General features: G+C 43.3%; 1 long non-coding RNA gene across 3 annotated transcripts in view, besides 1 other annotated feature; it reads right to left on the reverse strand.

The window, feature by feature from the left end:
• The window catches only part of LOC124904185 (uncharacterized), a 74169-nt gene that overhangs the window by 48471 nt on the left and 11717 nt on the right, over positions 1 to 13981 (reverse strand). The window lies entirely within an intron of this gene.
• Positions 2760 to 3054: an enhancer, noted in NCBI's record as "tiled region #2463; HepG2 Activating DNase matched - State 5:Enh". NCBI's record gives its function as "activates a minimal TATA promoter and a strong SV40 promoter by Sharpr-MPRA in HepG2 cells {active_cell/tissue: HepG2}" and the evidence as "EXISTENCE:reporter gene assay evidence [ECO:0000049][PMID:27701403]".

The following is a 13981-nucleotide window of genomic DNA, read 5'->3' on the forward strand; positions in this document are numbered from 1 at the left end:
AATAAAATGAAATATGCTGGGCCCCTAATTCCATATGAATTGTGACTTTATAAGAAGGGAAATTTGAACATAGACACACACTCACAGGTGAAATGTCAATGTGAAGATGAAGGCAGAGAGTGGAGTAATGTGACTATAAGCCAAGGAACACTGAAGGAACCACTAGGAGCTAGGAGGGAGGCAAGGAACAGAGTCTCCCTCATGGCCCCTAGAAGAAACCAGCCCTGCCCACACCTTGATCTTGGACTTCTAGCTTCCAGAACCGTGACAGTTAATATTGAGTGTCAACTTGATTGAACTGAAGGATGCAAAGTATTGTTCCTGGGTGTGTCTGTTAGGGTGATGCCAAAGGAGAATAACATTTGAGTCAGTGGAATGGGAGAGGCAGACCCACCATTGATCTGGGTGGGCACCATCTAATCAGCTACCAGCAAGGCTAGAATAAAGCAGGCAGAAGAATGTGGAAGAGGCAGACTTGCTGAGTCTCCCAGGCTTCATCTTTCTCCCATGCTGAATGCTTTCTGCCCTTGAACATCAGACTCCAAGTTCTTCAGCTTTTAGACTCTTGGACCTACACCAGTGGTTTGCCAGGGGCTCTTGGACCTTTGGCCACAGACTGAAGACTGCACAGTCATCTTCCCTACTTTGAAGTTTTGGGACTCGGACTGGCTTCTTTGCTCCTCAGCTTGCAGATGGCCTACTGTGGGACTTCACCTTGTGATCTTGTGAGTCAATTCTCCTTAATGAACTCCCTTTCACATATACATCTATCCTATTAGTTCTGCCCCACTAGAGAACCCTGACTAATACAAGAACTATGAAACAATAAATTTCTGCTGTTTGAGCCACACAGTCTATAGCACCTTATTACGTCAGCCCTAACAAACCAATACACTGTCAGATCCTAAGTGACAGGGATATCGCACTAAACAAGACAGATAAGGTCCCTGTCCACATAGAGCTTACGTTTCAATAGGGAAGACAGACTATAAGTACACAAAGTGTATATAGTATGATTTCAGTGATAAAAAGGACACTAAAGCAAAGTAAAAGGATGGAGTGTGTGACCAGGGTGCATAGAGAAAATGCCTATAATGAGACGACATTTTGAGCAAAGGCCTGGAAGAAGTCAGAGGCAAGCCATGTGAAGTTATGGAGGAAGAACATTCTATGCCAGCCCTTTTTCCTGAACAGTGGTTCACTTTTCCGATGCCCTGCCAAGCCCCACACCTGGCCGACTCATCCTTCAGGTCTCAGTTCAGTGGGTACCAAAAAAAAAAAAAATTAGAAAGAATGAATAAGACCTACTATTTGATAGCACAATAGGGTGACTCTAGTCAACAATAACTTAATTATATACTTTTAAATAACTTAAGAGTGTAAGTGGATTGTTTGTAACTCAAAGGATAAATGCTTGAGGGGATGGACACCCCATTCTCCACGGTGTTCTTATTTCACATTGCATGTCTGTATCAGAACATCTAGTATACCCCATAAATATATACACCTCCTACATACCCACATAAATTTTAAATTACAATTAAAAAGTCTCAGCTCAGGTGCCATCTCCTGTAAGGAGCCTTCGACGACAGCCCCCAGGCCCCCAGGCTAATCTAAATGCTACTCTCCCTTGGGATCTCCCATACCTCCAATGGAGGTGTTTCCCTGAATTCTCATGTTCTTTTATAACTTTTTGGTTGGTTTCGTATCTCTGTGCCTGGATTGTGCTTTCCTAGAGGACAGGATCATGTCTTATTTTTGTATCCCCAGAACTCAGCATAGAAACAAGGGTAAAGAACAAGGTTCAACACAAATCTATGGGTGGATGGATGGATAGATAGATAGATAGATAGATAGATAGATAGATACATAGATACATAGATTGACAGATGGACAGATGGATGGAAGAAGAGGCGGGTGGAATTATGTTATTTATTACTCACTACAGCCTTATAAGATAGTTACTATTAGACTTATGGTACAGATGAGGAGATCTGGGTCCCCATGAAGATGGGTCCTGGTTATTTACACACTGCCCAAGTTCTAGGCCTCCAGGCACAGTTCAACTGGCATAAACTGGTGAAGCAGATGTCTGGGTAAAGTCACCAGTTAGGTGCAAGTTCCTTGGAAGCACATAGCCTTTTACAGACTAAACTTTAACATTTCCATTTGATCCTCACAACAGCCTACAATGTATACACACAGGATAATTGTCCTCATTTGAAAAATCAGAAAATCTAGATTTAGAGAGGTAAAATGAATTTCCCAGGGTCTCAAAGCAGTCACATAGAGCATGTGGTGCCTCCTCAACTAACTGACGCCTAGAACCGTATCTTAGATGCTCAGGACCGAGAGGACCTTCAACTTCATCTAGTCCAACCTCCACCAGACCAGGAAGAGGTGTCTCAGGATTTCACTAGCTCCAAAGAAATACCAGAGATGCTGTTCTGCCCCAAAACACCAGAAAACACCTGCCCTTTAAAACAAAATAAAGAGGCAAAAAGAGAAAGAAAAGGAAACCAATATCTAGACATAGCCCTAAAATCCATTTTTCCCTGATAGCTGCACTTTATTCTTCAAAGCCCCTTTTCCTTTAAGACCATAAGCTCTTCTGGAGGATTGAGTTGGAGGAGGACAGAGTGATGATAAATCTACCAACAACCCCAGCCCCTTCTATCAGTCGTTTAATGAGAAGCACGTGGAAGTGGAGGGGAATGAAGGCACGGATGGGCAGAGTTCAAAAGGTTCCTCCCCCTTCTGGTGTAGAGGGGGATTTGTTGTGTAACCTAAACATCCCAGCATTCCTAGCGGGAAGAGGCAGAGCGCAGGAGGCCCAGCACAGCCGGCCTGCAAAGTTACCAAAGGCTCCTCTCAGTCTGACAGTCCCTGTGACTTCGATCCTGGCTGTCCACGTTGCTTAATAGTCTACGGTCTGCCCTGAGCTTTTGTCCCCACTTCAAGGGTATGGATTCAACCCCCAGAGGACAAGGTCAGATCCAGGAGCTGCAGTCAGCCCCATTCCCTGTGTGAAAAACATCCTTCAAGCTTACAAAGCATTCTGGGGTATAATATCTCAAAACTGGTTTAAAATTAAAGGTACTCACTCATCATGCTCAGCTTGTTTCCACACCTGTGTTTTCAGTAAACCACACTGATTTTCACCTGTCATTCAGCTAGAAAAAAACCTCACTATCTTTATTCTACCTCTGTGTCATTCCTACATTCAAATGATGAGCAAAAGCAGCCGACTCTACTTGAGAAATGTCTTCCCAGTATCACTCGCCAATATCACTTCCTGTAATCTCCCTGCAGCACCTGCCCTAGTTTAGGCCTGTTCCTCGCTCTCTGGGCCTTCTAATTGCAGCCAGCCCTGCTTCCCTTGCCAACCTTCTTTACCTGTTATCATGATCTTCCTGCAACAATTAACCTGGTCAAATCAGTCCCTGCTCAAATTGTTGGATCACTATTTCCAATGGGATAAATCCAAACTCTTTATCAGGGAACACAAGGCCCTACATCATTCAATCTCCTCTCCTCATCCCCAGCCACTTCTGCATTTCATTTTTCTCTCCTGCAGCTCTGACTTGCTTGTAATTAAACGCAAGTCAGAGCTGCAGGAGAGAAACCATGTATCACCCCCATTCATTGCCTCATGTTATTCCCTTTCCCTGGAATGCCTCCCTTTCCTCACCATCTCACACCCCTTGTTGCCCTGCCAAACTCCTACTCATCCTTTGAGGATCAGCACAGGCATCACCTGCTTGAGGGAGCTTTGCTCGACCTCTGTCACCCCACCCCACCCACCATCGTTGGTGTAGGTGTCTTTTCCCATGGTCCTCTGTTGCTGCACTGTGCACCAAGAGTGACAGCCACCTGTTCATGTGCATTTGTTCCCATTTGACTGTGAGCTCCTCAAGGGCCAGGACTCTGTTTCACTCATCTCTATATCACCTGCTGTTAGCCAAAGCCCTGGCAAAAGGAAGAATTAAATAAATATGGAATGAGTGAATGAATGGTTGATAGACTTGGTGTAACCTATGAGGGAAAGTGTAGAGTCTAGGATAACTTGATGTTTGAGGATACAGTGAATAGCTGGATATGAATGCTCTTCTTTCTTTCTTCTACTTCTTTTGTTTTTTTTTTTTTTTTTTTGAGATGGAGTCCCGCTTTATTGCCCAGGCTGGAGTGCAATGGCATGATCTCATCTCTCTGCAACCTCCGCCTCCCAGGTTCCAGTGATTCTCCTGCCTCAGCCTCCTGAGTAGCTGGGATTGCAGGCACCTGCCACCACACCCAGCTAATTTTTTTGTATTTTTAGTAGAGATGAGGTTTCACCATGTTGGCCAGGGTGGTCTCAAACTCCTGACCTCAGGTGATCCACTCACCTCGGCCTCCCAACATGCTGGGATTACAGGCGTGAGCCACCGCGCCCGGCCATGAATGCTTTCCATAAGCATGGGAAGTAGAGAATGCATGAAAGTTTAGGGAGCAGATGGCCACTCCTATCAGGTAGAGATGTCCACTAGCTGGATCCATGTACACATCTGGAGTTCAGGATAGAGCTCATCTGGATGAGATATGTCATTTGGGGTATCGCTGCTGTGGAAAAATTCCTAGAGAGGAGTCTAGAGTGAGAAAAACCGTGGAGGGAACCCTGAGGAACACTGGTATTAAAGAGTGGGCAGAGAAAGACAATCTCGTACAAACAACAGAGGGGAAGCATCCAGAGAGGTAGGAGCTGCTCCATTGAGGGGAGTGCACTCCAAACCAGGGGAGGAGTGCATTCCAAGAAGTGACCAGTGTTTCCAAATGCAGCAGGCATGGCCACCCTTCTTCAATGATGGGCAAGACTTCATCCCCTCACACTGTGGGTTCCAGCCTGTCTGCCTGGTTTAGGGTTCCCTGAACAGGCCACACCATTCACCCTCCCATACCTTTGCTTAGTCATTCCCTCTGCCAGCAAGTTCCACAACCACACACCCCCAAACTGTCATCATCCATCAAACACCATTTGAGCTTTTCCTCTCGCAAATCCTTCCTAACCTGCCCCTGCCCAGTGGTGAGTTGACCACCCCCTCCTCTAGACCTCCACTTTTCTATGAACTTGGCTCTTATGCATCAGCTGTAATAATAGTTTTGTTTTCATGCCTATTTTCTCCACAAATTTGAGTTCTCTGGGGGCACAGCTTGCCTTATTTGTCTAGACAATGCCAAGCCCAGACACAGGGTCTACCATCAAGTCAGAAGTCTATATATTTTACTGAGAGAGAAAGAAAGAATAAAAGACTTTGCACATCAACCTCACTCAGAGAACAAATCAATAGAAGTGCACAACTCAAAATCCGATTAATTGCCCATCTCCTCTGTTGGTTTTTGGTTGACTGAGGTTCCTTGGAAATGCCTGGGTTAATATTATACAAGATGCATTAAGTGGCTTTTGCCCTGGCCTCTATGAGCTCCTGAATGTAGTTACAAATGAACTCATCTGGGTGGGAGGGAGCACCTTCGGGGGTTATATAGAAACATCCGCTTGTGTTGAAGCGGCCAAACTGCCTTTCTTTTGCCCCCACTGCAGCAAGGGTGTCTCATAAATGTTAAATAATCATAATGACCATGCTCAAGGGGGTGTCAGTGGTCATAAAAGCTAGTTTTTATGGATGCTTCCCTGCGTCTCCTGGTGGGTGGTTAGAAATTGAGCAGGACTGATGGCCAGAGGTCTCCATATAGCCTGCATCTGAGAGACCTATAAGCTTGGGTGGCAAGAAGGAGCTCCAATCACAGGCCAGGACACTCAACTATTGATTGATAGAGGAAGGCCACCCACACCGTGCCTTCTGGAATCCATTGGTGAGTCACCGGCCAACGGATTATGTGTTCAATATGGGCCATTGGGCCTGATACCAAGGCATTTCCTGCTTACAGCTTAGGGGAGCTGTCCTTAATGAGGGTGATGACCTATAGGTCCAAGAAATAACCAGATGAGAGGGAAACCCTGGTCTTATTTACACCTCATGGGATGTGGCTTCCTAGGCCTTTTCTGTTTGATTCCATATTTTCCAGGACCTCACTTTATATTCATTCCATCACTTATCTGTTGTGTCCATTAATTCCGAGGCCATTAATTAAGCACCTGGGCAGGCTGCCGGAAATAAAAAATAGATAAGACATGGTTAACACCTTTATTGGGTCAACTTTGGAGAGATAAAAAACCAATTCCTTTGTGATATTTAAGTATTTACAGCCATAGAGGTATGTACCAAAGGAAGAAAGAGCTGTCATGGAGGTAATATTTGTACTGAGTTTTGAAGGATCAATAGAATTTCACCAGGAAGGTACAAAGGAGGAAGGAGGATGCCCAGGTACTCAGTGGGTGGAGGAGGCACTTTACACAATTAGACACGTAGAGTGAGAGGAGTGCTAAAATGAGGGTCAAGAGCAGGGCCTCCACCTTACACAACTCCAGGGGAGCACCAGTCACATGGGAGTGTATGGAGTCATGCAGGGCATAACCTGGTGGCCGTGTACCCCAAGTGGCCCTAGTCAGGAGACCTGGGTTTGATTCCTGGCTCTGATATTAACTAGCTGTATGACCTTGGATGATGTTTTTCACATTTCTCAGTCTCTTTTTTTTTTTTTGAGATGGAGTTTCACTCTTCTTTCCCATGCTGGAGTGCAAAGGCAGTCTCTTTAAGTGTGGAATAAAGAGGTTGGACTGGATGGTTTCCAAATATCCTCTCCTCTCTAGTGTCTTCTATGAGTCTACGCATCCAGACTGAGATAAAATGGGACTTGGAGTTAAAGCTTGTCATTTCAGGAATGAATTAGGCATTGTCTTTGGAAATGAGACCTTAATCTTCCCCTGACTCTTAATCTCTGTGCATTTTTTATAAAAGTTAGTTAAACATTGGCACATGGAATATTAACACTAAAAGGGAAACTAAAGATCATTTAACCCAAGTGGTTCATTTTTGAGAAGATGAGACTGAGGCCAGAGACAGTAAATGATTCAGCAAGTTGGGTCAAGACTCAGGTCAAGACAGAAGTGTTCTTTGCCCCAAGCCAAGTAGTTCCCAAGTTTGACCTCAACTCTCTCCAAGATATTGTAACCTCCTTCACCCAAGTTTTGGGTTTATTGAAAAAAAAAAAAAAAAAAAAAAAAAAAACAAAGTACGAGGCAAAACCAGCATCCTATTAAGAAGTGTAATGTTGCTAGGAAAGCCTGCCAGTAGATCTTCTCCCACACCTCCTGGCCATCCTGTTTCTACTTTGCTGGCTCCCAAACAGCACAGCATGCTGTTGACCTGCAGATCTAGGAGAATAGCACACCTCCACTTGATAGTTCTTTGAAATATGAGAAATCCAAGCTCTTGTCCTAACATAAGTAAATGAATTCCATGAATATATTTAAATCATTTTAGACATAGGTCAGAATATTCCAAGCACTATCCACCCCAGGTACCCAAACGAGGAACCCATGTGTTGTTCTAGCTCTTCCCCTTCTCTTTCCCTTGCTCTCATTCCAGTTCCAAAACATATCCCTATCTCTATCCCCATGACCTACTTCAGGGCCACATGCTTTCTTACCTGAGCTCTTACATTAGTCACCTAATTAATCTCCCTCTTCTCACCCAGACCCCTTCTGCCACCATGAGGATTCTGACTCTCCCTCTGCTTAAAGGCAAATCAGGTGCACCCCATACCTATCAGATAAAGCCCAAATTCTTCAGCCTGGCATGCCATGCCTTTTGTGACTTTTCCCTGCCCGCTTGTCATCATTCATCTTTCAGCCATTCCTGCTCTGCCTTCATCCTCCACAAAAATACACTATTATTATTTATGGTTCCACAAATATATTATGTTCTCTCAAGTCTCCCTACCTTTGCTGGGGTTATTTTCCCTGCCAGAATTGCTTCCCCCATCCTCAAATCCATCCGATTTGTATCACTCTGCTTGGGTTGCCAAAACAAAATACACAAACTGGGTAGCTTAAACAACAGAAATTGATTCCTTCACAGTTCTGGAGGCTAGAAGTTCATGATCATGGTGTCAGCAAATTCAATTCCTGCTAAGGGCTCTCTTCCTGGCTTGCAGACAGCCACCTCCTCCCTATGTCCTCACAGGGACTTCCTTCTTTGTGCAAGTGTCTTTGGTGCCTCTTCCTTTTATTTTAAGAGCACTATTAAATTAGGGTTATAATTAAAGTTAAATGTGACCTCATTTAACCTTAACTATCTCTCTAACAGCCTTATCTCCAAATGCAGTCCCATTAAGAGTTAGGGTTTCAGCATATGAAGTGGGGCAAGGGAATGATTAAGCCTGTAACACTTCTATTATAGCTTTTATTTTTATGTATTCAGTTTATTTGTTTTCAGCTGGGCTCAGTGGCTCACGCTTGTAATCCCAGCAGTTTGGGAGGCCGAGGCAGGCGGATCACCTGAGATCAGGAGTTGGAGACCAGCCTGGCCAGCATGACGAAACCACGTCTCTACTAAAAATACAAAAATTAGCCAGGCACAGTGGTGGGCACCTGTAATCCCAGCTGCTTGGGAAGCTGAGGCACAAGAATCACTTGAACCTGGGAAGTGGAGGCTGCAGTGAGCCGAGATCGTGCCATTGCACTCCAGCCTGGGTGACAAAGCAAGACTCCATCTCACAAAAAAAAAAAAAAAGAAAGAAAAAAGATTATTTGTTTTCACATCTGTCTCTTCCACTGGCTTCTGAGGGAACCTGGAACGCCTTTGAATCTGTAGCTCAGTGAGGGTCCATCTAGATTTTGTGAGACCCATCCTCCCTACCCCAGGCTTACAAAATGCGGTAGGCCCTCATTGGGAAAAAGATTAAAAATTAGGTATAAGGTGAATTTAGAAAGGTCCCATGCAAGTGAAGCGCCCTGGAGTTCAAGCCTCGGAGCTTCATACTTTATCTGTCTCTGGGCTCAGTAAAGATGTGTCACAATAAAAAGCTTCAACAGCCTCAATATGTACTAGAAAGACTGGATTTAAATCCAATCTCTCATCTCCCTTTGGGCAGGTGAGTTCATTATCTGCACATTGGTATTTCTGCATATGTAAAAATGAATTTATAATACCTGCCGTGTTAAGGTTGTTTTGCACTGAAGATGTATTTAGGTAACCTGAAAATATACCAAATATTTGTTTACTTGCTTATTGTCTGTGTTCCCCACCACAGTCTAAACCCCATGAAGAAAGAGACTTTGCCTTCGTCATTGCTGAACGCCTCTTGTCTAGAATAATGTCTAGAAATTGTTGGGTGTTCAATGAATGTTTATTGATTGAAACAATATAGTACCTCCTCATATCTGAAACAATGGTGCCTGGTATCCATTGATAGGTTAAGTTCTCCCAATTTTAACTCTTACTATTATTAATAAATTTTAGTTAAATGAGTAATAAGGAGAAAGAAAATACAAATATCAGAAGAGATAAAAACCACTCATAGACTCTGGAGAGCAAAGTAAATCAAATTTCATATGATCCGAAATGTTTTCAGACCTAGAATTTTTTTTAAAAATCTTTAAAAAAAAAAGATCGGAGGCTGAGGCAGGCAGATCACGAGGTCAGGAGATCGAGGCCACCTTGGCTAACATGGTGAAACCCCGTCTCTACTAAAAATACAAAAAATTAGCCGGGCGTGGTGGCGGGCGCCTGTTGTCCCAGCTACTCAGGAGGGTGAGGCAGGAGAATGGCATGAACCCAGGGGGTGGAGCTTGCAGTGAGCTGAGATCGCGCCACTGCACTCCAGCCTGGGCGACAGAGAGAGACTCCATCTCAAAAAAAAAAAAAAAGAAAGAAAGAAAAGCAAACAAAGGAACAATGCACACGTATCCACACAAGGAACACCGAAAATCCTTCAGGCAGTAAGTTGAGTAAAAGATAGGAAAGCCCCAGAAATTTGACATGGCTTCACTGGTGACCAAGACAGCATATTTATTCATTGTTCAGCAGCTCCCTTCTTATTCTCCAAGGAGTGGAAAGCGTTGCTGAGTTCTGGACGAAAGCCTCTCCCGTCAGCTGTTTAAGAGCATTGCTGTCATTAGACAACCTCAAATCATGTCAAGCCCCAGTCTCTGCCAGCACCGAGCTGAAAAGCCAATCCTCCAACTTAGCTCTGAACTCTTCACCCCAATCAATTAAGAGCGATCCCATCAAAAACCCCAAATAAGTTTGCTTGGCCTGACCTTGACGATTCTAGTTAAAGAGACATCGCTCCTCCTGGAAGAATCTATCATTTTTAAATGGCTCACATGATGGCTGAGGAATTCAGGGAGAGTTAGACTGAATCCCAGCACCCGAGAGCTGAGAGAGACCTCGGCACTCAGAGTCCATTTTTCACTACAGAAGAGGAAACTGAGGCTCAGAGACAGCGACTACCTTTCTTGAGGTCATATAACTTGGCGATTATTGTTGTGAAAATGTATTCCTTACACCAGTCAGAATGGCTATGATTAAAAAGTCAAAAAACAACAGATGTTGGTGTGGATGTGGAAAAAAGGGAATGTTTATACACTGTTGGTGGGGAAGAAATTAGTAAACTAGTACAACATCTAGGAAAAACAGTATGGAGATTTCTCAAAGAACTAAAAATAAAATTATCATTTGACCCAACAACCCCACTACTGGGTATCTACCCAGTACTTGTACCTGTATTTGTATGTCTATTGCAGCACTATTCTCAACAGCAAAGTCATGGAATCAACCTAAGTGTCCATCAGCAGCTGAACTGATAAAGAAAATATGGCTGGGTGCGGTGGCTCACACCTATAATCCCAGCACTTTGAGAGGTTGATGTGGGTGGATCACTTGAGGCCAGGAGTTTGAGACCAGCCTGGCCAACATGGTGAAATCCCATCTCTACTAAAAATACAAAAATTAACCAGGCCTGGTAGTGCACACCTGTAATCCCAGCTAGTCGGGAGGCTGAGGCAGGAGAATCACTTGAACTCAGGTGGTGGAGGGCTGCAGTGAGCTAGCTGAGTTCACACCACTGCACTCTACCCTGGGTGACAGAGCAAGGCTCTGTCTCAAAAATAGATGTATATGGTACATATACGCCATGGAATACTACACCACCAATTAAAAAGAATGAAATCATGTCTTTTGCAGCAACATGGATGGAGCTAGAGGCAATTATCTTAAAAGAAATAACTCAGAAACAGAAAACCAAATACTGCATGTTCTCACTTACAAGTGGGAGCTAAAGAATCAGTACACATGAACATCTAGAGAGTAATAACAGAACTAAGGGCTCCAAAAGGGGGAAGCGTCAGAGGAAGAGAGGGTTGAAAAATTACCTGTTGGGTACAATGTTCACTGTTTGGGTGACAGGCACCCTAAAAGTCCAAACCCTACCACTACACAATATATCCATATAACAAACCTGCACATGTACCCCTGAATCTATAAAATAAAACTTTTTTTTTAAAAAAGGATTATTTAGCTTTCTATTCAGTTCATTAATCATCACACTTGACCGTGCCAGTGACTGACTCATGATTCAAGAAGAGCTTGCTTCCACTTCCCAGAACTTGTTCCAGTTTCTCATTCTGCTTCCTATGCACTGTGTGAACTTGGACAAGTGACTTCACCTCCTGAACCTCAATTTTCATCCTTCAAAAGATGCGATAATAACATTTATTTCACACGTGTGTTATCAAGAGGAAATGAAAAAGCATTTAATTAAAACTGTTACTTTTAGTGCTTAATAATTGTTAGTTTCCCACCTTTTTCCTTTCTTCCTTCCTCTCTCTTTCTATTCCTTCTTTTCTTTTCCCTTGCTTCCATGCTTTCTTTCTTCCTCTGTTCTTAACAAGTACTGTAATGAATACAAAGAAGTTTAACAGAGGATCCTTGCTCAAAGGAAGTTAATCTCCAGGTGGCTTCAGTTTCCTCATCTATAAAATGTGAAGGTGGGAATGGATAACTTCTCCAGATATGTCCTCCCCTCACCAATTTATCTGCAGTAACACGTGTACATACGTAGTCAGCACAGATTACCAAGCACCTCTTTTCAGCCAGATCCTGAGCTAAGCTACACGGATAGATAGATTTACACTCCCTGTCCTCCACAAGCTCACAGAAAAATTGTAGCTGAAGACAAGGGGGAAGAACCTACAGTAGGCATGCAATTTATATAACTATTTTAAAGAGTTCAGATGTCAAGTAGAGAAAGGGGAAAATAGCCACGTCAGAGTCTACTGATGAGACAATCAGAGAGGGAAACACACAAAGTACTGTAGCTCTTGTCTGATTAAAAAGTACACACAAGTGTTAAAAGGAAGTAAAAGTTCACCACTCAGGGCAAATTATTTACAGGCACCAAATATTCTGAAGGAAATCTAAGGCATACCAACTACTAAATGTATTCAGTCTTCTAGGTTCTATGGTTAAGCTTGGTAGGAAAAAAAAATACAAAACCATACAATACTGGAAAGAGAGAAAGAGAAAGAAAGAAAGAAAGAAAGAAAGAAAGAAAGAAAGAAAGAAAGAAAGAAAGAAAGAAAGAAAGAGAAGGAAGAGATGGAAGAAAAGGAAGAGGAAGAAAGGAAGGAAGGAAAGTAACTTTGGTTTACACTTCTATGTACTCAGTTCCATACCAGGCCCCTTCACTGATATTATTCCATGAATGAAAGAAAAGAAGGAGAGAGGAAAGAAGGGGAAGAGAGGTGTGGGGTAGGGACAGGGAGGATGGAGAGGAGGGAAGAAGGAGGGACAAGAGGAGTGAAGGAAGGGAAGAAGGGAAGCGAAGAGAAGGTAGAAAAAGAAATGGAAGAAACTTGCAAGATGGATATTACCTTCCTTTTAAACGTGAGAAAACTAAAGCCAACAGATGAAATGCCTCGCACAGGCCACACAGATAATAAGAAGCAGAACCAGGATTCAAAGCCAGCTATGTCTGATTTCAAAGCTTGTGCTCCTTTCAGAATATCCTAATCACCAGGGCAGAGTCCAGTGTATCCCCCAAATGATGGTATAATTGTAAAGTATAGTCCAAAAAGCAGTAGCCAGGACCTCATAAGAATGGGAATAAAAGAAACAGAAATAAGAGCCCTTCCAGGTGCCCAGAGAATTCCACCACTCCTGTGATTAGCTATGCAAGATTCACCTCTCCCTTTGCTATTTATTGACTGAGTTAACCCTAGGCAAGTCACTGCACCTCTCTGGACCCCCAGTTATCTGCAAAATGGGTGTGTAATATTGTCACCATTTGATGAAGGAGACTGCATTCGCTAACCTCTTGAGATCCCCTTCAGCTTTAAGCCCTTGATTCTACTCACATCACAGAATCTCATACCTGGAAAGGACTATAGGAATAAGTGTTTCTCAAGCTTGAGAAGTAGACAGACCTTGGAGGAGAGATTTTTATTTGCCCCCTTTATCTGTTCTCTTCTTTTACATAGTGATAGAATTTTTAGTTGGTCGCAAGACTTTGCAGCTAAAGAGATTTCTTGCAGCTAGGTGTAGCCATATGACCAAATTATAGGATGTGAAAAGAAGTGATTTGGGCAACTTCTGTCCCTGAAAGAAAACAGTAGGCTCTCCCCCTTTCCTCCTTCCTGCTGGATGGAATGCAGACTTGATGGCAGGAGCTGGAGCTGCAGTCTTGGATCACAAGGTGGAAGTCAAGTGTTGAGCACTACAGAGCAACATGAGGGAAAGAGCAGGGGTCTTGATGATTGTGGAGCCATCGTTCTAGCTCTGGATCACCTACCTCGACTTTTTATTTGAGAGAGAAATAAATTCCTATCTTGTTTATGCCATTGTCTCCTAACAAATTCATTCCTTTTAAAGAAAAAAAAAACTCTCTAATTTCCCAATTTGGGAAACACACCACATGGAAAGTTAAATGCTAATACTCCAGATGTTTTCGTGGTGCTGCTAGAGCCATAAACACAAATTCAAACAGGACTGCTGAAACCTCATGTCTATAAATGGAAATCGAGGGGAAGGGTCCTTAAATAATT

The sequence above is a fragment of the Homo sapiens genome, chromosome 1 (assembly GCF_000001405.40).
Source record: "Homo sapiens chromosome 1, GRCh38.p14 Primary Assembly".
NCBI classification, from domain to species: domain Eukaryota; kingdom Metazoa; phylum Chordata; class Mammalia; order Primates; family Hominidae; genus Homo; species Homo sapiens.